The sequence below is a fragment of the Homo sapiens genome, chromosome 3 (genome assembly GCF_000001405.40).
Source record: "Homo sapiens chromosome 3, GRCh38.p14 Primary Assembly".
Classification (NCBI taxonomy): domain Eukaryota; kingdom Metazoa; phylum Chordata; class Mammalia; order Primates; family Hominidae; genus Homo; species Homo sapiens.
In genome coordinates this window covers 129,999,155-130,022,809 of record NC_000003.12, presented here as the reverse complement: position 1 = coordinate 130,022,809, position 23,655 = coordinate 129,999,155, and the positions used below count along the sequence as shown (strand labels likewise).

Sequence of the window (23,655 nt, the reverse complement as noted above, 5' to 3'; positions counted from 1 at the left end):
ATTTTACTGAGATCACGGATTTGTTATATATGACGTTTTGGTCTTCTAATATTCTTCAGTGGATTTTCTCTAAAGTAGTATGTACAGAAAGCCTTGTACAGCAAAAAAGTAAATCACGTAATAATTCTGAGATTTTTGGAATTGTCACAGCTGAGAAACATTGCTGGCGGTGTATGCTCCGCAAGTGTGAAGATGTTCCTTGTGAATTGCTTGCATCCAGCATTAAGGGCTGGTTTTTATCTTTTATTTTTCCAATCCTCTTTCCTTCTCAAGGTGTCCAAGACACAGAGAGCCACGGAATCTCACAGGTGTCTGAGAATTCCTCCTCCTGGGACTCTCAGAGGATCCAGAACTGCAGCCGTCCTCGCTTTGCTGTCCCTGTCCCTGTCCATGTATCTGGTCACGGTGCTGAGGAACCTGCTCAGCATCCTGGCTGTCCGCTCTGACTCCCCCCTCCACACCCCCATATACTTCTTCCTCTCCAACCTGTGCTGGGCTGACATCGGTTTCACCTCGGCCACAGTTCCCAAGATGATTGTGGACATGCAGTCGCATAGCAGAGTCATCTCTCATGCAGGCTGCCTGACGCAGATGTCTTTCTTGGTCCTTTTTGCATGTATAGAAGGCATGCTCCTGACTGTGATGGCCTATGACTGCTTTGTAGCCATCTGTCACCCTCTGCACTACCCAGTCATCGTGAATCCTCACCTCTGTGTCTTCTTCGTTTTGGTGTCCTTTTTCCTTAGCCTGTTGGATTCCCAGCTGCACAGTTGGATTGTGTTACAATTCACCATCATCAAGAATGTGGAAATCTCTAATTTAGTCTGTGACCCCTCTCAACTTCTCAAATTTGCCTGTTCTGACAGCATCATCAATAGCATATTCATATATTTCCATAGTACTATGTTTGGTTTTCTTCCCATTTCAGGGATCCTTTTGTCTTACTATAAAATCATCCCCTCCATTCTAAGGATTTCATCATCAGATGGGAAGTATAAAGCCTTCTCCACCTGTGGCTCTCACCTAGCAGTTGTTTGCTGATTTTATGGAACAGGCATTGGCATGTACCTGACTTCAGCTGTGTCACCACCCCCCAGGAATGGTGTGGTGGCATCAGTGATGTACGCTGTGGTCACCCCCATGTTGAACCTTTTCATCTACAGCCTGAGAAACAGGGACATACAAAGTGCCCTGTGGGGGCTGCACAGCAGAACAGTCGAATCTCATGATCTGTTCCATCCTTTTTCTTGTGTGGGTGAGAAAGGGCAATCACATTAAATCTCTACATCTGCAAATCCTGCCCCTTAGTCACACTATTTTTGTGGCTTGATGGCTTTTATTCCTTTCCGCATTTCCTTTGTGAATATTGCTCTCTTCGTTATGCCTTTAACTGGAATGGGTGAGGATTCTGGGATCCTTTGTTTAGCAGAAACCTCATGACAGGATCCTCTCTACCTAGGCGGCCTCTTTTAGTTTCTGAGCAATAACCCTGTCATCCAGGTGGAATCACAACCATCTTTTTATATACACAAAGTCCTCACTTCGTTTTGGAATTCCCTGAAAACTGACTTTATGGAAACAATGTACAGGAGGTCCTCCAACACCATTGGTTGTTCAAAGTTGTGGTTATACTCTTGATGAAAAATAAGTGGTTTCACTATACATAATTTTGCTTCAAGGTGAAGTTTCCAAGAGACTTTCAAAGGTGTTAAGTGAGGACGTACTGTACATCAAATTCATATCCTCTTCCAGAGTTCATGTGGAATTTCTTTATAAACTGCTTCTAGAGAATCTATTTAGGCAGGTTATGTGTAGAGATCCATGTCGCCGTTCCTCAGTCTTGGCTTTGAGTCAAATCAGCTGGGGAGCTTACACATGATGAGGCCTGGGTCTCAATACCCGAGATTCTGATTTCCTTGTACCTGTGTGAGTATGTGGATTTTTTTTCTTTTAAAGCACCAGAGGTGGTTCCAATGACAAAGTTTTTAGAGGCATCAAGCTCCAATGAGTAAGAACAGAAATTAATTGTAATATGATTTCTTCAAATATTATCTTCAAATGCATTGTCCATCAACACCATACAAATGTTTATTATGCTGTTTTTTCTTACCATTTCGCATTTTCTATTTCTTTCTTCCTTTTCCTTTTTTTTTTTTTTTGAGTCAGAGTTTCACTCTTGTTGCCCAGGCTGGAGTTCAATGGCACGGTCTCGGCTCACTGCAACCTCTGCCTCCCATATTCAAGCAATTCTCCTGTCTCAGCCTTCCAAGTAGCTGGGATTACAGGCATGCGCTACCATGCCTGGCTAATTTTTTTTTTTTTTTTTTTTTTGTATTGTTAAGAGAGAGACAGTGTTTCTCCATTTTGGTGAGGCTGGTCTTGAACTCCCGACCTCAGGTGATCCGCCCGCTTCCGCCTCCCAAAGTGCTGGGATTACAGGCATGAACGACCGCGCCCAGACACCACTTAGCATTTACATTTTACATTTGTTAAAGTTATAGATTTATACACACATTGATTGCTGCTTTGTTATACACTTGCATATACATAAGATGGGAAATAGAAAAGAATAAAATGGGCACAGTATCCCTGAAGTTTCACATTCTGAGACATTTTAAAAATATTTGCTCTTCAGAAATTTGTTTCAATTAAGAAACTGTGGTATACACACCCGGTGAAGTATGATTCAGCCTAAAAAGGAAGAAACTCCTCTCCGCTGCGGACAAAATGGATGAGATTGCAAGTATGTATATTAAATGAAATAAGCCCAGCACTGAATGACAAATATTTCACATCCTCACTTCTATGTAGAAAGAAAAAAGGAAACCTTGGCCAGGTGTGGTGGCTCAGACCTGTAATCCCAGCACTGTGGGAGGCCGAGTCGCACGGATCACTTGAGTCCAGGAGTTCGAGACCCGCCTGGCCAACATGATGAAACTCCGTCTCTACGGAAAACACAAACAATGAGCCGGGCGTGGTGACGCGTGCCTGTAGTCTCAGCTACTCGGAGAGCTGAGGCCCAAGAAGCGCTTGAACTCGGGAGGCGGAGCTTGCAGTGAGCCCGGATTGTGCCTGTGTACTCCAACCTGGGCAACAGAAAGAGACTCCATCACACACCTACACACAAAAGGAATCTCAGGAAGGTGGAAACTATAAAGGTGATTAGCAGATGCTAGGAAGCAAAGGGGTGGAATCCGGAATGAAGACAAGTGGATAATTGGGTCCCAAAATACTGAAAGATGGAATAAGTGAGTTCTAGTGTTTGATAGTACAGTATGAAAATTTTAGTTCACAAAAATTGCTTGCATATTTCCAGATGCTTTGGTAAGAAGCTTCCTAACTTTCTCATTATACTGGTTTTTAAGCTCTTCTCTTTCTGCTACTGAAATGATGCTGGCTTTTTGATTTTGTTTTTTGTTTTGAGATGGAGTTTCGCTCTTGTTGCCCAGGCTGGAGTGTCACGGTGCAATCTTGGCTCATCGCAACCTCTGCCTCCTGGGTTCAAGCGATTCTCCTGCCTCCACCTCCCGAGTAGCTGGGATTACACGCATGCAGCAGCACGCCCAGCTAATGTTGTATTTCTAGTAGAGACGGGGGTTTCTCCCTGTTGGTCAGGCTGTTCTTCAACTCCTGACCTCAGGTGATCTGCCCGCCTCGGCCTCCCAAAGTGCTGGGATTACAGGCGTGAGTGACCGCGCCCGGCCCATGCTGTATCCTGATCTGTTGTCTCTTGCTGTTTGTTTGTTTTGGAGCCCGGAAATAACTTCTCACCTATATGTTCAAATGGTTTTTCACATGAGTGCTAAGAAAGCTCATTGGTGGAAAGCAGCCTTTTCAAGAAATGGTGTTGGAGAAACTTGATTTCCATAAGCACAAGACTGAAGGTGGACCCTATGTCACACCAGGTGCAAAAATTAACGCAAACTGGATCAAAGACCTCACCCTAAGCGCCAAAAGTATCATACGCCTAAAAGAAAAGATTGGCCACAATTTCATGACATCAGATTGGGCAATGTTCTCTGGGATATGACACCAAAAGCATAGGCAACAAAATTAGATTCCTTGGATTACATCTAAATGACAGACCCTTTTGTGCAGCAAAAAACACTGTGAACTGAGTGAAACGATAACCCAAGGATTAGGAACAATATTTGCAAAGCATATATCTGAAAAGAGGCTGATATCCATCGTATATGAAGAACAGCTAGAACTAAACCACAAGAAACCCAAAGCATCCCATCAACAATGGCCAGAAGACTCGAGTAGATGTGTCCCTAAAGAAGATATAGCAATGGCCAATAAGCATCTAAAATGATGTTCAAAATCACTCATCATAGGGAAGCGCAAATCAAACCAATCATGTGATACCACACATTAGAATGGATATGATAAACAAACAGGCATTGGTGAGACTAGAGGGAAGTAGGAATGCTCAAATGTGATTTGAGGGAATGTAAAACCGTGAAGGAACGGGGAAAATAGTATGGTGTGTGCTTGAAAAATTAGAAACAGAATGATCAGATGTTCCCGCAGTTGCATTTGTGGGTACCTACCAAAAAGAATTAGAAGCCAGGAGTGGAAGACAGATTTGTGTACACCCATATTCATAGCAGCATTATTCACAACAGCCAAAATGTGGAAGCAATTCAAGGGTTCGTGGACAGATGAATGAAAAAGCACACTGCAGTTCCTTCATACAATGGAAGACTATTCAGCCTTAAAAAAGCAGGCACTTCTGGCCGGTGCGGTGGCTCACACCTGTAATCGCAGCGTCTTGGAAGACCGAGGTGGGCGGATCACCTGAGGTCAGGAATTCAAGACCAGCCTGGCCATCTTGGTGAAACCCTGTCTCTACTCAAAATGCAAAAAATGAGACGAGCGTGGTGGCGTGTGCCTATAGTCCCAACTACTCAGGAGGCTGAGGCACAGGAATGGCTGGAACCCGGGAGGCGGAGGTTACAGTGAGCCCAGATTGTGCCACTGCACTCCAGCCTGTGCGACAGAGTGAGATTCCATGGAAACACAAAACAAAACAAAGTCAAACGAACAAAGAAAAAACTAACAAACAAAAAAAAAAAAAACAGAGAGGCACTTCTGACGCAGGCTGCAACATGGATGAACCTTGAAAACATTATCGTCAGTGAAATAAATAAATCCCAAAAGGATAAACACTCCCAGGCTCAGTGGCTCGCACCTGTAACCCCAGCACTTTGGGAGGCTGAGCCAGGCGGATCACTTCAGGTCAGGAGTTCGAGACCAGCCTGGCCAATATGGGCTCTATTAAAAATACAAAAATTAGCTGGGCGTGGTGGCGCACAGCTGTAATCCCAGCTACTCGGGAGACTGAGACACAAGAATCGCTTGAACCCATGATGTGGAGGCTGCAGTGAGGTGACATCACGCCACTGCACTCCAGCCGGGGTGACAGAGAAAGACTCTGTTTCCAAAACAAAAAAATTAAACACGGTATGATTCCACTTATCTATCAAGTGTCTAGAGTAGTTAAATTCATAGAGTTGCAAACTAGAAAGGTGGCCCCTAGGGGCGGGCGAGAGAGAGGAGTGGAGAGCTTGGTGAATGGGTGCAATTTCCATTTTGAAAGATAAAACTGTTCCAGAGACGATGATGGTGATGGTTGCTAAACAATGTGAACGTACTTCATGTCATGAAACTGTAAAGTGAAAAAGCATGGAAACTGTAAAGGTTTATACTGGCCATTCTATATGAACTAATATATATTTATAATTTTTAATATTTATACGAGGTATATTTTCCCATAATAAAAGATGAAAATTAAAGCAGTTGGATGTTTAAAAAGAAAAGAAAGAAGCGAAGAATACACACCAGCTTTCTCCTGATTAGAGGAAGAGCCCCAAAGCTTCTATGGACACTCACTTTTCTCTTCTTCTTCTTGCATTATTATGAGGAAATCCTTAGAGGTTGGGGAAGTTGGGTGACTTTGGCTAATAAGGAGCTCTGTGCCTTGAGCCCCCCAGGCCACAAAATAGTAAATAGTCAGTCTGTGCCTCCAGCCCTGTAGTGTGAGGTTCCAGTCCTGTGGGCTCCACTCCCGTCACCTGTATCAAGAGGCTCACGTCTCACCCTGTCTTCTTGCCAGCCTTGAGGATGGAGTCTGAGCCTCCATGTTGCACCACACAGGGAGGACAGTGGACCTGTTCTCCATGGTCATGGCCCAGCAGAGGGGAAGGGCAGTTCAGTGAGTGTAGGGAAAAGAAAGAGAGATCAGACTCTTACTGTGTCTATGTAGAAAGGAAAGACATAAGAGACTCCATTTTGAGAAAGACCTGTACTTTCAACAATTGCTTTGCTGAGATGTTGTTAATGTGTAGCTTTGCCCCAGCCACTTTGACCCAACCTGAAGCTCACAAAAACATGTGTTGTATGAAATCAAGGTTTAAGGGATCTAGGGCTGTGCAGGACGTGCCTTGTTAACAAGATGTTTCCAAGCAGTATACTTGGTAAAAGTCATCGCCATTGTCTAGTCTCAATAAACCAGGGGCACAATACACTGTGGAAAGCCGCAGAGACCACTTCCCTTGAAAGCGGCATATTGTCCAAGGTTTCTCCCCATGTGATAGTCTGAAAAGTGGCCTCATGGGAGGAGAAAGACCTGACCGTCCCCGAGCCCAACACCAGTAAAGGGTCTGTACTGAGGTGGATTAGTCAAAGAGGAAAGCCTCTTGCAGTTGAGAGAGGAAGGCCGCTGTCTTCTGCCTGCCCCTGGGAACTGAATGTCTCGGTATAAAACCCAATTGTACATTTGTTCAATTCTGAGATGGGGGAAAAACCGCCCTATGGTGGGAGGTGAGACATGTTGGCAGCAATGCTGCCTTGTTATTCTTTAGTCCGCTGAGATGTTTGGGTGGAGAGAAACATAAATCTGGCTTACGTACACGTCCAGTCATAGAACCTTCCCGTGAACTTCATGATGACATAGATTCTATTGCTCACATCTTCGTTGCTGACCTTCTCCTTATTATCACCCTGACTCCTACTACATTCCTTTTTGCTAAAATAATAAAAATAATAATCAATAAAAACTGAGGGAACTCAGAGGCCAGTGCCGGTGCAGGTCCTTGGTATGCTGAGCGCCGGTCCCCTAGGCCCACTGTTGTGTCTCTACACTTTGTCTCTGTGTCTTACTTTTTTTCTCAGTCTCTCATCCCACCTGACTAGAAATACCCACAGGTGTGGAGGGACAGGCCACCCCTTCAAGTGAGTGCTGAGGGACGGTCGGGAACCTTGTTTGTTTCCTCATCCTTAGGACGTACTGGAGACTGCGGTGGGCAGATGTGAGGAGAGCAATATGCAAACTCTGTGCTCAGCATACTGGAATTTCTGTTCTTGGTTGTGGTGGGGGTCTCAGAAATCTTATTCAAAATTTTGCTTTCCTCCCCCACTGGTTGTCCTTTTTATAGACATCTCACCCATGATAGCAGGGAATCAGTCCCTCTAAACTATTCCCTAAGAACAAAAAAGAGATTATGAAGGTGATGAGGATAAAGAGGATGACGACAGACACCATGGCATCATGAACCCTTACTGAGGGCTTACTGAAGGCCTGGCTCTGAGCTCTGTGCTCTATGCAGCTTGTTTCATTTCATCTGCATAGTCTCCATGTTATTAGTTCACATTTCATGATGATTTTACAGACTAGAAAAGGAGCAACGGATTTTCATGTAGCTTGTACCAGATCACGAAGTCAGAAAGGGTGAAGTCCAATTTGAACCAGGCAGTCTAAGTCCAGACACATGGCATTTGGCCAGTCCTCTCCCTGCATCCAACCTGCCCTCTCAAATCCTTGTCACTCAGGCCGATGCCCCTGCTCACTCTGCTCTTCCCTTTGGAGGTTCATTGTAGACCACAGCTAGACCAGTGGGTGCCACAATCACTGTGTCATGTTTAGAAGGGGCAGCTGAGATCACATCGAGGATTCCAGAAGGAATTGGCACAGGATCATTCGGGACGCATATCTCCCTTGTCCCTGTTCCTGGCTTTCCTTACAGTTCTTGACTTCCTCAAAGGAGTCATCAATTCAGCGTTTGGCTTCCATTCCTATTGAGGAATCTGGAAAGTGTTTCAAAAATGCTCCTCCGATGTGCCTGTGGTTAAGACCTCTGAGCTCTGCTTAAATCGTTTGGAAGCTGGGCGCGGTGGCTCACACGTGTAATCCCAGACTTTTGAGAGGCTGAGGCAGGCGAATCACAAGGTCAGGAATTCGAGACCAGCCTGGCCAACATGGTGAAACCCTGTCTCTACTAAAAATACAAAAAAAAGAAGAAAATTAGCCAGGCACGGTGGCGTATGCCTGTAATCCCAGCTACTGGGGAGGCTGAGGCAGGAGACTCCTTTGAAGCCGGGAGACAGAGGTTGCAGTGAACCGAGATCACGCCACTGCACTCCAGCCTGGGCAACACAGCAAGACTCTGTCTTAAAAAAATAAATAAATAAAAATTATGAAACAATGTGCTTGGATGGGCTTGGCAAACTTTAGCCATTAGCTCACGTACCACTTTGGAAGGGCATACCTTCAGTCACTTCGCCCTTTAATCCCTTTGCTCAAGACTAAAGTTCTGAGAGGAAGTCTAATCGGCTGAGTTGTGTCCATGTGGGCAGTGCAGGAAAGGGTGCAGCGGGAGGCGGCTCCAGGGATGTTTTTGGCTTCCATCATGGGGGAGCAGACGCCTGGATTATCCACCCTAACACATCTGGACAAAGGAAAATGAGGTTCTCTGAGGAAGGAGACATAGAGCCCAAGGAGCTAACTAAGAGACAAACAGTCATCCTGTCTTGTCACTTTCTTTTACACACGTGTGTACATTATCTTACACTTATCACTTTGTTTTCTTTCTCTCCTTTAATTGTACCCTGCTGCCAAAAGTTAAAATAAAATGAAAGTATTGAGATAGCTCGGTAACTGACTTTTGGTCAATTGCCTTTTCATATAGTGAACAGCTGCCCAAATCACACTGACAGAGACAGTGATTGTCTCTGTCTCTGTGCAAATTTGCAAGCGTTTGCATGATCACTCCCAATCCCCCAACACAGGGCTGTGTTACAGCACAATTTAGTTCAGTGTTTTGCTCTCTGCAACAGGGAGGTTCTCATCCATTACAGGTTGCAGTAAAAACAGGGGTACCATAAGCAACCACCTCTTTCCTCAACGATATGATGAAAGCAAAAGCCAAGTAGCTCCATGTATCCAACTTAAAAAAAAAAATTACGCCCGTGGGCTGCAGTTAGAGCTATGGCGGCGGCAGCTGTCACTGGGCCTAGCCCGGGGTGTGGACCTGGGGACTCCGCAGAAGGCCCCGGTGGGGAGGTTCACGGAGCGTCGGCGGAAGGCGCACAGGATGCTAAAGCTTTACAACGGCCTCTCAGAATGGGAGGCGGTGGGACTCCCCGCTGGGCCCGACCCCCTGGACCCCACTGATCTGAATGGGGCACACTTCGACCCGGAAGTTTAACTAGACAAGCTGCCTAGAGAGTGCCCTCTGGCCCAGCTGATGGACAGTGAGACGGACATGGTGCAGCAGATCCGGGCTCTAGACAGCGACATGCAAACCCTGGTCTATGAGAACTACGATAAGTTCATCCCAGCCACAGAAATTGACAAACAGCATAAAACTCTATGAGGAACTGCAGGAGACCCAGAATTTCCCAAATAACCTTGTAGAAGAGGAACAAAGTTGGAAGACTCACAAAAAAAAATATACATATATATATAAAGTTGTGTTTTCATTCAGTTGTAAATGTTTAGTAATTTCTATTGTAATTTTTCATTTAACTCATGAAAGGATATTTTTAATTTTCCAAATGTATGCTTGTGTTTAGCTATCTTCTTGCTGTTGACTTCTAATTTTGTTGCATTATGGTCAGGAAAATCTGGTCTGGACAATGTCAATAGTATAGTGGATTTTGTTGAGACTTCTTTATGGCCTAATATGTGGCCAGTTGTTTTTCTTTTTTTGGTTTTTTTTTTTTGTTTTTTTCTTTTTACAAATTTGCCACATGTGGTTAAAAGGAATGTGGATTATTTGTTTTTTTTAGGAGAGTTTTTATTTTTAAATAGATAAGGTTCTCAGTGTAATTGAAATCTAGCTTCAATTAACAATATGCTAGATCTCTCAAAGCTTAGGATGTTAGTCAGTGTAACAATAGACTGCTGCTGAGACGAATAAACCCTGAACTCTCAGTGGGTTGGCACCCATAGCATAGTCTGGTGCAGGGCAGGGGTTCTCCTTGGGGTCCCTTGTCCAACAGTGATTCAGAGATTCTGGAGGTTTCCATCTTTTAATTCTGCCATCTCAGAGTTTTTCACTTGTAGCCATATGGATAGGAAGAGAGGGAACATAGCTCACACTTGCCTTTGATAGCCTTGGCCCAGAAGGGATTTCTTACATTCCTATTCATGGAAATGCAGTCACATGGTTCCAAACTAACTGCAAGTGAGGCTGGGAAATGTAGTCTTTCTGCATGTCCAGGAAGAGGAATGGTGTGAACACAGCATTGTCTTTGACACTCTAAGCATGTGCTAAAGAGTTCTTACTCTTATAGGAGTTTTGTCTGTCCTGTGTAACTTTCTCAGTTTTTGCTTAGATAGTTTCAGGCAATGTTGTTTGGTGCACTCAGCTTGATGATTATTATGTCCTCTTGGCAAAGTAGGCAAGATTCCCACCAGTTTGAATGAAAGTGTTTTACAGATAGGTCAGGAAATGTTAATACTTTAAAAGGCTGTTCTATTCCTCCACTCTACAGATAAGAACAACAGAGTCCTAGAGAGAGGAGGTCATGGGTCTCACTCATGAGTGGCAGAATTGAAACCAACATGGCAGTAACTTTGCCTTTCCCCCATCATGTTTTTCTCCCTCTAACTTCACTCTGCTGATTTCTTCACTTGCTCCATACAGACTTCCTAGTGCCAAGTGTATAAGTGTGTCCGGAATTGGTGGGTTCTTGGTCTCATTGACTTCAAGAATGAAGCCACAGACCCTCCTGGTGAGTGTTACAGTTCTTAAAGGTGGCATGTCTGGAGTTTGTTCCTTCTGATGTTCAGATGTATTCGAAGCTTATTCCTTCTGGTGGGGTTCGTGGTCTCGCTGGCTCAGGAGTGAAGCCGCAGACCTTCACGGTGAGTTTTACAGCTCTTAAGACTGCACGTCTGGAGTTGTTCATTTCTCCCAGTGGGTTCATGGTCTCACTGGCTTCAGGAGTGAAGCTGCAGACCTTCTCAGTGAGTGTTACAGCTCATAAAGGCAGTGTGGACCCAAAGAGTGAGCAGCAACAAGATGTATTGCAAAGAACAAAAGAACAAAGCTTCCACAGTGTGGAAGGGGACCCCAGCAGGTTGCCACTGCTGGCTCGGGCAGCCTGCTTTTATTCTTTTACCTGGCCCCACCCACATCCTGCTGATTGGTCCATTTTACAGAGAGCCTGAGTGGTCTGTTTTGACAGGGTGCTGATTGGTGCATTTACAATCCCTGAGCTAGACACAAAGCCTCCCCACGTCCCCACTAGATTAGCTAGATATAGAGTCTCCACACAAAGGTTCTCCAAGTCCCCACCAGAGTAGCTAGATACAGAGTGTCAATTGTTGCATTCACAAACCCTGAGCTAGACAGAGGGTGCTGATTGGTGTGTTTACAAACCTTGAGCTAGATACAGAGTGCCGATTGGTGTATTTACAATCCCTTAGCCAGACTTAAAGGTTCTCCAAGTCCCCACCAGACTCAGGAGCCCAGCTGGCTTCACCCAGTGGATCCCACACAGGAGCCGCAGGTGGAGCTGCCTGCCAGTCCCTCTTCATGTGCCCGCATTCCTCAGCCCTTGGGTGGTTGATGGGACTGGGCGCTATGGAGCAGGAGGCAGTGCTCGTCGGGGAGGCTCAGGCTGCACAGGAGCCCACGGAGGGGGGAGGCTCAGGCATGGCGGGCTGCAGGTGCCAAGCCCTGCCCCACGGGGAGGCAGCTAAGGCCCAGTGAGAAGTCGAGCACAGCAGCTGCTGGCTCAGGTGCTAAGTCCCTCACTGCCCAGGCCGGCAAGGCCGGCCGGCAGCTCCTAGTGCGGGGCCACCAAGCCCACGCCCACTCGGAACTCCAGCCGGCAGGCAAGCAGCACGCATAGCCCCGGTTCCAGCTCACACCTCTCCCTCCACACCTCCCTTCAAGCTGAGGGAGCCAGCTCTGACCTTGGCCAGCCCAGAAAGGGGCTCCCACCGTGCACCCGCGGGCTGAAGGGCTCCTCAAGTGCCGCCAAAGTGGGAGCCCAGACAGAGGAGGTGCCGAGAGTGAGTGAGGGCTGTGAGGGCTGCCAGCACGCTGTCACCTCTCATAAGGAGTGATTAATCTGAGCTTCTCCAGAAAGTCCATTCCTGGTAGGCACTGGGAATAAGAAATCTCAGAGTATAAAAAAAATCAAGTGGTAGCACTTTTGTGAATGGCTCCCAAATTAGATCCTTTACCTTTTTTCTTTTCATGAAGCACAGTTGCACAAAACACGCTTAGCCTGAGATGAAGCACATATTAGAGAAAGGTTCTCTCTATAGCATTATGTATTACTCGAATGAGCATTAAAAAGAGGAGATGGGACATGCTCTCTCTAGCTATTATTACCTCCACTGTACAGTTGACATACACAAGCTCATTATTGCATTATGTTTTATTCAACAAAATAACTTTAATGTTGAAGTTTAAATTGAATTTGCTAAAACATCTTTGTCTCCAGCATAATGTGCCTCAAGTGTCTTCTTGGTGCCTGAATTTTCTCCAGAATTATAGTGCTGAAGCTATGGAAATGGTGAAATTATATGCAATCTGCAAAATAATGTGGCTATAACGTGGTAATTGGCCTTCTGCATAATTAAAGGAACATTTCCTCATCAGAGCTGTTCCATCAGAGACCCAAAGGCTATCGTTGTACAAATCACCCACTTAGGAAAACCTTTATTCCCAGTAGCCTATAAAAGTCTGGTTATGAAAACAGATTTGCTTATTCAGTAACAGTAATGGCTTCTCATAGTTAAAAAGTCATCAATGTGATTGACCTATAATCTGTTTCCTCTGTGACCAAGTGTCATTTTTATTTTGACAGTTGGGAGCCTTTTGGCTCTTTCACAGCTGGCATGAAGGCACAGGGAGGGAAATCTCAAAAACCAACAACCTGTGTATTCCCAGCCTCTTAATCAATAGAAAATCACTTCAACTGGATTAGGGTCTTGTACCTGGCAGAAAGGCTCTTATGGACATTGGAATTGGATTTTTACACTAGATATGACACCTCCTTGAGTCAGATCACATTGATTTTTGATAGACTCTTGCCGAAAAATTGCTCCAGGGTCTGTGCAGTAGCTAAAGCCTTTTTGTTGTTGTTGATGTTTTAAAAGCAGCATTAGATGTTTTCATGAAGACTTTCCCAGCAGTGATTTCATTGGGAATATGGTCTTTAGCTCTGGTCCTGAATAACTCACACTGAGGAAACCTCTAACAAGTGTTTTATTGGAAGATGTCTGATGGATGGTTGGTTTTAATAACAAATCTCTTCCCTTTTTCAAAATTTGTTTCAAAATAACAAATCTTTCCCTTGTGTTCTATTCTCCTTTCTCTACACATTATTCAGGGAGGATTCACCTATTCCCAAAGTCCTTTCCTCTTTATTTCCATTCCAGAGCTCTCTGTATAACTCCAGGCTGATGAATCCAACTGCCCAGTTGTTATCTCCACTTGGCTGTCTGTCTTGCATTGACCTCATCTTACCTTGCCTCTCCTGATTTCCTCTTCTGCCTGGGCTCACCACATCAGATTCACACCACCATCCACCCAGCTTCCAAAACACCTGGGCCTCATCCTGCATTCCTCCCTCTTTCTCAGTCAAGTTAGTCTACTGTCTCCTCTCCATCCTCACTGCCACAGCCTTGGTCCAGCCAACCATCTTGTCTCACTTGTTGTATTGCAGCCTCCTACCTGGTCTACTCACCTCCCACTCTCCTCCAGCCAGACTGCTCTTTTTATAGCACAAAGTGGATCATTACTCCCCTGCCTAAAAACATCTACTGTCTCCCTTTGTCTACAGGATAAACACGACAAAGAGCCTTTAAGATGTGGCTCCAACTTACCTCTATATTAGTCACTTTTTATAATTATATGAACATCTCTCAGCTCCTCACCCTCTCACGTCTCGATTTTTGCACATGCTCTTCCCTCTGCTGGGAATGATCTTCCACACCTCTCCTATCGACCTGGCTAATTCCTACCATTTTCTAGTCTTCAACTGAGGAGTCCTGTGGTGGAGAAGGATTTCTGACCACCTGATAGAGATTGAATGCCCACCCATCTCCTGGCTTTTTTTTTTTTTTTTTTTTTTTTTTTTTTTTTTTTTTTTGACGGAGTCTCGCTCTGGCCATCCAGGCTGGAGTGCAGTGGCGTGATCTTGGCTCACTGCAATCTCCACCTCCCGGGTTCAAGCAATTCTCCCACCTCAGCCTTCTGAGTATCTGGAATTACAGGTGCCCGCCACCACACCCGGCTAATTTTTTTGTATTTTTAGTAAAGACAGGATTTCACCATGTTGGCCAGGCTGTTTTCAAACTCCTGGCCTCAAGTGATCCACCCACCTTGGCCTCCCAATGTGCTGGGTTTACAGGCATGAACAACTGCACCTGGCCGATTGGGTGCCCCTTCTTTGTGCTCCCACTGCCCCAGGCATACTGTCACCATAACTCTTACCATTCTGAGTTGAAAATGATTTTTTTTTTTGCTTTTTATTTCTCTCATTAAGTGCAAAGCTCATTGAAAAGAGGATGGTGGTTGTTCACTGTTGCACTCCTAACCTTGGACTCAGTGTCCTGAGTTCGGCTCTAGAGCTGTGCACACATGTTCAGACATTGGAGCACATCTTGTCTAGTGCCTCTTTTGAGGTGGCTTGGAGAAAAGTCAGTAGGTACTTCCCCAAGGATGAAACAGAAGCTTCACCTAAATCAGGAGTTCTTCAACTTCAGCCTGCATTAGAATCCTCTGAGAGCTTGTTAAAAATACAGTCTCCTAGAGCCCACTCTTCAAGAGTCAGTGAGTTGCTTCATCATCAAAATGTATACAGAATCCAGCCGGTCTTCAGCACCAGCCTCGTCTGAGCCACTGTGGACTCCCACCTGCAGAATCTCACTGCTGGTCTCCTTGCTTCTGCTCTTACCTTCTTATCATCCATTCAAGTAGCCAGGGTGATCCTTTTTAAAAATTTTTTAAAAATTTTTTGAGATGAAGTCTCACTCTATTACCCAGGCTGGAGTGCAGTGGTGCTATCTCAGTTCACTGCAGTCTCTAACTCCTGGGCTCAAGCCATCCTCCCACCTCAGCCTCCTGGGTAGCTGGGACCACAGGCATACACCACCACACCTGGCTGATTTTTGTATTTTTTTAAAGACAGGGTCTTGCTATGTTGCCCAGGCTAGTCTTGAACTTCTGTGTGCGCCCACCTCAGCCTCCTGCATTTTTAGGAGGCCCCTCTTGTAGGGATTTTGATGCAGATGCCTGGGTGCCTCATGTCTCCTCCCATCTCTCTCTGTCTTTCTGTCTCTGTCTCTGTCTCTCTCTCTTTCTGTTTGCCTTATAGCTGCCCTGGGGACTAGACTCTGCCTTAGGCATCCCTCTGACTCCTGTTTGCTTTTACACTGAAGCTGCTTTAAGTCGCACCTTGATCTGAAGCCTTGGGCTTCTGCTCCTATTGCTTGCTTTTGTTGGAAGGGCCGTGCAGCTTCTTGACAAATTGCAAAGGTGCTCACAAGTTTCCAAGTCCCCAACAACCAAACCAGATGACAAACAAGGATGCAGCCCACAGCTGGGGAGACAGATTTCATGTCCACACAGAGACTCCAAGATGCTGAACTGAAATCCACCCCGAAACCTGTTTTCTCTCTCATTTAAGTTCAATGTCACCTGGGGGCTTGCAGGGTAGGGCTGGTGACCATTCACAGGGGAAAGATGCTTTGAAATGTCAACTGAGAATTGTGTGGTGGTTGACAGATGGCACGTCAGGGCATAGATTAACATGGAAAGAGAAACTCACCCCTTGGGGGGAGTGTGTGAGGCTGGCAGCCACACAGAGGGCTTTTTCTGCGAGCTCTCGCATACATGCAAACAGCCGGGAGGTTTTGCTTTCTGAGCCTGAGTGGAACCATGTTCCTCCCTGCACATTGCCGCTCTGCAGCAAATGTTTATTCCTGTTGCATTGATTAAAAGTGCTTACCAGGCCAGGCGCGGTGGCTCAAGCCTGTAATCCCAGCACTTTGGGAGGCCGAGGTGGGCGGATCACAAGGTCAGGAAATTGAGACCATCCTGGCTAAAACGGTGAAACCCCGTCTCTACTAAAAATACAAAAAATTAGCCGGGCATGGTGGCGGGCACCTGTAGTCCCAGCTACTTGGGAGGCTGAGGCAGGAGAACGGCATGAACCTGGGAGGCGGAGCTTGCAGTGAGCCGAGATTGCACCACCGCACTCCAGCCTGGATGACGGAGCAAGACTCCATCTCAAAAAAAAAAAAATAAAGTGCTTACTGAAAGGGTTTGAGGGGAGTGGTGACAGTGTGAGTTATGGCTCTGCCGGCTGCCAGTGGAGCCAGCCGCTCTGCACAGCTGTGCAAGGGTGTTTTGAAAAGTGGCTCAGCCAGCCAGGAGTGACTGGGTGTAAGTGTTGCTGCCACAACATCTTGTAGCCTGATTAGAGCCGTATTTGCAGAACCCCTAAACCACTACACTTGTTCAGGCTTAAAAATAAGCTTGCTTTTTTGTTTGTTTGTTTGTTTTGGTTTGTTTTATGAGACGGAGTCTTGTTCTGTCGCCGGGTTGGAATGCAGTGGCATGATCTCAGCCCACTGCAACCTCTGCCTCCTGGGTTCAAGTGATTCTCCTGCCTCAGGCTCCCGAGTAGCTGGGACTACAGGCATGTGCCATCACGGCCAGCTAATTTTTGAACTTTTAGTAGAGATGAGGCTTCACCACGTTGGCCAGGATGGTCCAATCTCTTGACCTCGTGATCTGCCCACCTCGGCCTCCCAAAGTCCTGGGATTACAGGTGTGAGCCACCATGCCTGGCCAAACATAAACTTACTTTCTTACCTCTTCTGCTGAACTCTATTTGCTTCTTTTCCCAAACGTCTTTATCCAAAAGAGCTTTTAGCAACAAAGTTACCCAATGCCCTTCCCTAGTCTCTCCTTGCAACTGGCTCTCAGCAGGGCGTAGGAGGAAATCCTTGACAGAACCAATTTACGTGACTGTTTGGAGGACTCTGGCTAGCCCCAGGAGGTGTTTGCATTTTTAAATAGGTTACTAGTGTCAGAATGTTTCATGAGTAAGAGCCCAGCCTCTATGTTGGAGGCCCTGAATTTGAATCTCAGCATTGCCGCTTTGTATATAACCAGAGGATGGATTTGGGGACCCAATGGATCTACCATGACATGAACTTGCACCAACATTCATCTGACCTCCAAAATGCCTATTCTGACTGGTTGACCCTAGTCTCACCCTAGTGCCAGTTCAGAGCCTGTGTCCAGTGATCCTGCACAGGTCTCATTAGTTCCTTTTCCCCTGTTCAGTCATCCTGGTAAAAGGCTGTGTATTCCTTCAGGGGCAGGCTGGGAGAAAAATTGACAGTATAAATTTTTGGCAGTGGAGCAGAGTCCTTTCTGGAGGGGACCTGGCTTCCCATTCAGACAAGGGACTTCGGGTCTGTGAACTGGCTTATGTCTGGGAATTGACTGGGGACTGTGACTGTTTTTATGATTCAGATTAGACTTCTACTCACCTGACCTAGAACTCTTCTGCAAACACAGATCCAGTAAAAGTGTGGCAGGCTTCTTTTCTATTTCACTTCTAGGAATGCCACGATCAGCTGGCACCATAGGTCTCTGAGAGTCAGGCTATTCTGGTTGCAGCTTTGACTCTGCTGTCTTTTATGGTAACTGCGTCCACCTTGCCTTTGGGGATTGAGTGCTCTGATCACTTGGCCCCAGCCCCTGTAGTGTGCCTATGTCACTTCCCCTCTTTATACCTCAGTCTCCTCCTCTGTAAAATGGGCATCCTAATAGCACCCACCCCCAGGGCTGCTGTGAGGTATAGATGGATTAGCATATGGAAAGTAATAGAAGAGGGTCTCAAAGCCCATGTGTGGTTATCAGAATTATTTCATGACAGGGGAGAGCTGGAGGAGAGAGGAAGGTGCTGAGCAGACCCATGTGCTCCCCCACCAGTGTTTCCTGAGCACCTTCTATGTGCTGCCCACTGTGAGAGCTGTTAGGGTTGAAATAGGGAGCACAGCAGGGTAGGGGCTGCCATCAGGAGCTTAATGGAGAGACCATTGTGCAACATGGTTCCAGCGCTTGGGGTGGGGAAGCTCAGGGAGTACAGGGGCCTAGGATCCTGGGCAGAATCATGGGAAGGACACAGCCTCCCCAGCCTCTCCTGCCTCCACTGCCTCCCGGGCCTCCTCTGCTTCCCTGGCCTCTCCTGCCTTCCTCGCTTCCCCTTCTCCCCCGGGCTCCCCAGTCTCCCCTGTCTCTCCTGCTTTTGAGGTAGGCCAGGAGCTGCTGGTGCTCACTTAGCCTGTCCTGGACTCTTGGTGTAGCACCTCAGTGTCCAGAAAATACCCCCGGGTTCAGCTGATCACACAACCAAAGAAGAAGCTCCACACTGACACTAAGGGTGCATCCTGGGCTCATTCATCAGGGCATGCCTCCAAAATATTTCTCCACCTCTCCTCTCTTTGCCCACCTGCATTGTCTCTGTGCCTGAGCCCTGGCTGGGGGCCTGCAAGGATCCCCTATCTCCTCTGTCCCTGCACGGCTGGGTCCCAGGCAATCTGTCTGCCCACCACACCTCTCTCCCCTCGCCCACCACGCTCCAGCCCCACAGTCCTCCTTCTGCTTCTTTCCCAGCCTCTGGGCTTTTGCACACGCTGTTCCCTCTGCCCGAACATGCTCCACTGGGCTGAGAACAACTCTCTGAGAAGTCTCTCAGCTGTTGCTTCCTTTGGAACAGCCGCTGCTGCTGTCCCTCTCCCAGCTCCAAGACCTGCTGAGCCTCCTGTCTTTTTCAGTTCCCATGCACCCAGCACTTCTCCTTGGCCTCCTTTTGCCCAATTGACAATGTCCGTTCTCAATGCCTCCTCACCCAGCGCCGAGCCCCACTGGGTGAAGGCAATGCCTGTCATGTCCACCACAATATCCCCTCCCCCATCACCACGCCCGGTCCACAGAGATGCTCAAAAAAGATCTGTTGGTAGGCAATGCGAAGGTGCATTCATGTCATCCTGCAGGCGGAATTCTCCACGAGTTTTGAGCAGCCTCGGTTTTCCCACCACCTCCAAATCATGGAAGACACAGGGTAAGAGCAAAGACAAGGTGGCTGTGGCCGATGTCCACCCTCTCGGGGCGTCCCTTCTCTTCTCTCCTCCTTGGGCAGGGAGACCATCGGGGTGCAACCTGGCTGGGGCGGGGTGGAGGTGGAGGGCCTGGCCGGAGCGGGCCTGGCTACGGGCAGGGGACAGCGACCGCCTAGGCCAGGGCAGGTGAGGGCGGCGCAGGCCCCGGCCCGGCGTGTCCGCGGTGCGCGTGAGCGGCCAGCAGAGGGCGCCAGAGAGCCGGGAGCGGCCCGCGGAGGAGCCCGCGCCGGCCCCGATGCCCAGCTCCGCGCCGCGCGGACCCACCGAGCCCGCGCTCAGACGCCCCAGCTCCGCCGAGAGGCCGCTCTCGCCGGGTCCTTCCTCTTCCCCAAGTGCAGGCAGAGCCCCCGGAGCCATGGCCAGCCCTTCCGGCAGCTCCGAAGCCACTGGCAAGCCCCGAGGCAGGGATGGCCGGCCCAGGAGGGAGGAGGACGACGTCCCTCCCGGGGAGAAGAGGCTGCGGCTGTTGCTGGAGGGGGGAAGAGCACAGCCCTAGGACTGCGAGGACGGGGAGGACGCGCCGCGGCCGGGCAGGGAGGAGACCGGCACCCAGACAGGTGGCGACGGCAGAGGAGTAAGTGACGCGGACGCGGGGGTCCGGGGGTGCCGGGGACGCGGGGTAGGGGCGGCGGGAGGCTCCGTGGCCGGCCCCGGGTTGAAGTTGGTAACTGAGCGGCAACTCCGGCGGGCGCGGAGTGACAGCTCGTGACGGCCTCCGAGACGCCAGCTGCCCCTTCTCGGCTGTGTGGCTTCGACTTCCTGATTCTCCCACGACGTCCCTGGCCGGGAGACCCGCTGGACTCTGCGGCTAGCCAAAAGGGGAGGGGGAGCCCCGCGTCCTGGGGGCCCCCAGCAGGGGAAGGGGCGGGGGTTGCGCTGGGCATCCTGTCTGGGGCATCTGTCTGGGACTCTGCCAGTGCCTCTCACCTGGCGAGGGGCTTGTGGCGGGGGTAGGGGGGAAGTCCCTGGCGCCAGGCTTGGCCAAGCCCTGCTCTGCTGGGCTGCGGGCTGGCGGCGCTCACCCAGCTCCTCACCTGCCCCGCATCTTCCTGTTTTTCTTCCCTTTCTGGTTGGGCAGCGGGAGTTGAGAGGAGGCAGATGGCTTCCATCCCAGAAATCGCTCTCCTCTTTCCATTCCTACAGAGAGGGACAGAGAGGGAAAGTTCCTTGCATCCCCCGGGGCGCTGTCCCTGTGAGCTCCCGGTGTCCTGCACACGTGGGCCCCTGAGTCACCGGGCCTGTGTGTGTGCGATGGGGTTCCGTGGCCAGCCTGGCCTCCTGGGGTTCACTTTCTGCTTTCCTACCCCAACTCTTCCTGTGTGGCTTTGCTGGCCTTCCACTGGGGAGGCACGTGGGTTTGGAGGGCAGATGAGGGCCCGCTGGAGAGCTGTACCCCTCAGTGAGGGCCGCCACCTTGACGGTTTTTGATGGATAATGCGGTTGACCTCTTTGTTCCTTCCATATGTTTTTATGTTTGACCATTTGCTCAGCTGAGCTTGTCTTAATCATTTGATTCGTGGTGAATGAGCCCCACATGGGAGAGAGGGCGGCCTTCATTCTGAACCCATTTAAGCAGCACAGGCAGCCCTCTTCGCCATGGGCTGCATCAGAGCCCCCCCTGCCCAGTCTTGGGGTTGCTCCCGAATGCTGTCTGGGAGACTTGCTCATGGTGACATCCTCATCTCCCCCTGCACTTTACTGCATTCAGAGCTTGGGTCACCTGGACACTGAACTCAGGTGAATTTTCTCTGAGATCCCGGGAGAAGGAGGACAGTTCTCTGGAAGGTTTTCCAGGGCCGATCACGGAAAGGATGAGAAGGGAGAGGTCCTGGTCGGGACACAATTACGGTGGCAGTGTAACGCCGGGACACTTTATTGCGTGAAGTCCCTCTCACTCCCTCTACCTCCCTCTTTTACGTGGACTCTGCCAAAGACCAGGATACCAGAATGCAGTGGAGTGACCAAGTGTAGTGGGACCTTGGGAACGCGAGTCTGGAGCCAGGCGGCTGGGGTTTGCATCCTGGTTCTGCCCCTCCTTAGCTGGCTGACATGGCACAAGCCACTTACCCTCTCTCAGCCTTACTGTCTTCAGTGGCAAATGGATCGGTCAACAGGCCCCATTGCCTGGGATTGTTACTGCTAAGATTAAGGGAAGCTTGTCCATAGAAGCACTTAGCGTTGTGCCTGGCACATAGTGTATGGTGGATAAATGGGACTTAGGACTGAAACTCATGCCTTGGTGTGTTTTTGCAGTGATGTTTTGTTCTGGGGTGCATCACAAGAGACAAGGTTCTTGGCCGGGCGTGGTGGCTCAAGCCAATAATCCCAGCACTTTGAGAGGCCGAAGGGGGAGGATCGCTTGAGCCCAGGAGTTTAAGACCAGCCTGGGCAACGTGGTGAAGCCTCATATCTACCAAAAAAAAAAGAAAGCCAGGTATGGTGGTGTGTGCCTGTAGTCCCAAGTACTTTGGAGGCTGAGGTGGGAGGATTGCTAGAGCCTAGAAGGTCGGGCTGCAGTGAGCTGGGATCATGCCACTGCACTCCAGTGTAGGTGACAAAGTGAGACCCTGTTTCAAGGAAAAGAGAGAGAGAGAGACAGACCCACAAGTGTTTTAAGCCAGAATCTCCATGTTAAAATGCTTTCTGGAGGCTAAAAGGATGACATATTGATAATGAAATATTTAAAAGGCAGAAACCCCACTGAATTTCTTGGTCCACCGAGGGAAATGGGAATCGCATGACCTGAAGGATGATGCAGGAACTGAACAGAAACCATCCTTGTTTCCTGAATCTGAATGTGGCACCCTCTTTTCACGGTGTCTGTATCTGCTCAGTCTGGCAGCCCCTCGAAAAGAGGGAATCTTGATTTTCAAACTTAAAATTTGTCCCAAAGCCCACTGCTGCCCACAATGCCCGCCACACCCATTCCTCTTCCCTTTTAGTTTCTATGGGAATACTCTCTTTGAAGAACCCAAGAAGCAGTGTCAGGCTGGTGTGAGGACCAGCAGTGATTTCTTTGAGGAGGAGAGCCCGTTTCTTCACTCACAGGCCATGTCTGAGTGGATCAAGAAGAACAGAGTGCCCTTTTATGAGATTTTGTCTGCGTAGACCATTAGCTTGGTAAAAATGTCAAAACCATCCTCGTTCTTTAATAGCAGATTATTTTGGACTTTTCTCTGCAAGAAGCAGCATGGGCATTCAGATGCTTTTAAGGATAAAATGTTCTTTCTCATCACCAGGCCTGGTGCTCTGGATGGCTGAGGTTTTAATGTGACTGGATGTCCCTTGGAGTGGCTCCCAGGCTGTGCTCTTGTGGTTGGGTGGCAAGGGGTGGCTTTATTCGGTGGTGGCTAGAGGATGTTTTAGCAGGTAAATCGGGCCCCCAGGAGCCCCTGAGTGCCAAGTCCTGCTGCAGGGCATGTGTTTATGGTGGGGAGGTTGGGGGGGTGGAGGGTGGAGGGTGGGGGGCATTGATTTCCTGCCAATATCAGAAGTTTCACAGGCTTCTTGTGTATCCACAAACACCCACCCCATTGAGAAGGCCTAGAAAACCTGGCCCTCCCCAAACCTTTATTGACCGCTTGTGAATGATCCCAGGGTGTGTCTGACCCACAGCTCCTCCTGGAGGGAGAGAAAAGTCTCTCCTAGGTATTTGGTTATCAACCTCAACCACTTGCTGAGCCTTCCTCAAGACCAGGCACCTTGGCAGAGATTTCTGGGTTGTCAGGCGGAACCGAGCATTCAAGGGTAATAACTCTTTGGAGTCCCTGAAATCCCTGATGGACGCACCAGGTAAAAGCATCCAGGGTTGAAACCAGATCAGGAAGGTTATTGTCAGCCTGGGGCTCCTGTAGAGGTGCATCCACGTTGCAGGTATTTTCCCTTCTTGCTGAGGAGAAACTTGGGTTTCTCAGCTTTGGCACAGTCACAACACTTGGGGTCAGACCATTCGTGGTGGTGGTGAGCGGGGGGCGTCCTGTGTATTGTAGGATGGTTAGCAGCATCTCTGGTCTCCATCCTCTAGGTGCCATTCTACCCTCCCAGCTATGGCTACCCCAGATGTCTCCAGATGCTTTCAAATGCTGTGGGGCAAGGGAGTGGTACGTGAGCAAAACCACCCCAGTTGAGAGCCATTGGTCTACACTTGTGGAAATGTTTGAGGGTGAGAGTGTTGAGCTTGGGTCCCTGCTGTACCCTTTATGAGCAAT

At 48.6% G+C, this 23,655-nt stretch overlaps 3 pseudogenes, besides 2 other annotated features; all 3 read left to right on the top strand.

Annotated features, from left to right (window-relative positions):
- OR7E129P (olfactory receptor family 7 subfamily E member 129 pseudogene) lies at positions 231 to 1,255 on the top strand (annotated as a pseudogene).
- VPS51P10 (VPS51 pseudogene 10) lies at positions 9,269 to 9,628 on the top strand (annotated as a pseudogene).
- Positions 19,287 to 23,655, top strand: part of LOC124906284 (collagen alpha-1(III) chain-like) — a 34,271-nt pseudogene continuing 29,902 nt past the window's right edge.
- Positions 19,537 to 19,756: a silencer, noted in NCBI's record as "silent region_14730". NCBI's record gives its function as "represses an Ori minimal core promoter by ATAC-STARR-seq in GM12878 lymphoblastoid cells {active_cell/tissue: GM12878}" and the evidence as "EXISTENCE:reporter gene assay evidence [ECO:0000049][PMID:35858748]".
- Positions 20,316 to 21,162: an enhancer, noted in NCBI's record as "H3K27ac-H3K4me1 hESC enhancer chr3:129720491-129721337 (GRCh37/hg19 assembly coordinates)". NCBI's record gives its function as "activates a minimal SCP1, AML or CMV promoter by ChIP-STARR-seq in naive H9 embryonic stem cells {active_cell/tissue: H9 hESC(naive)}" and the evidence as "EXISTENCE:reporter gene assay evidence [ECO:0000049][PMID:30033119]".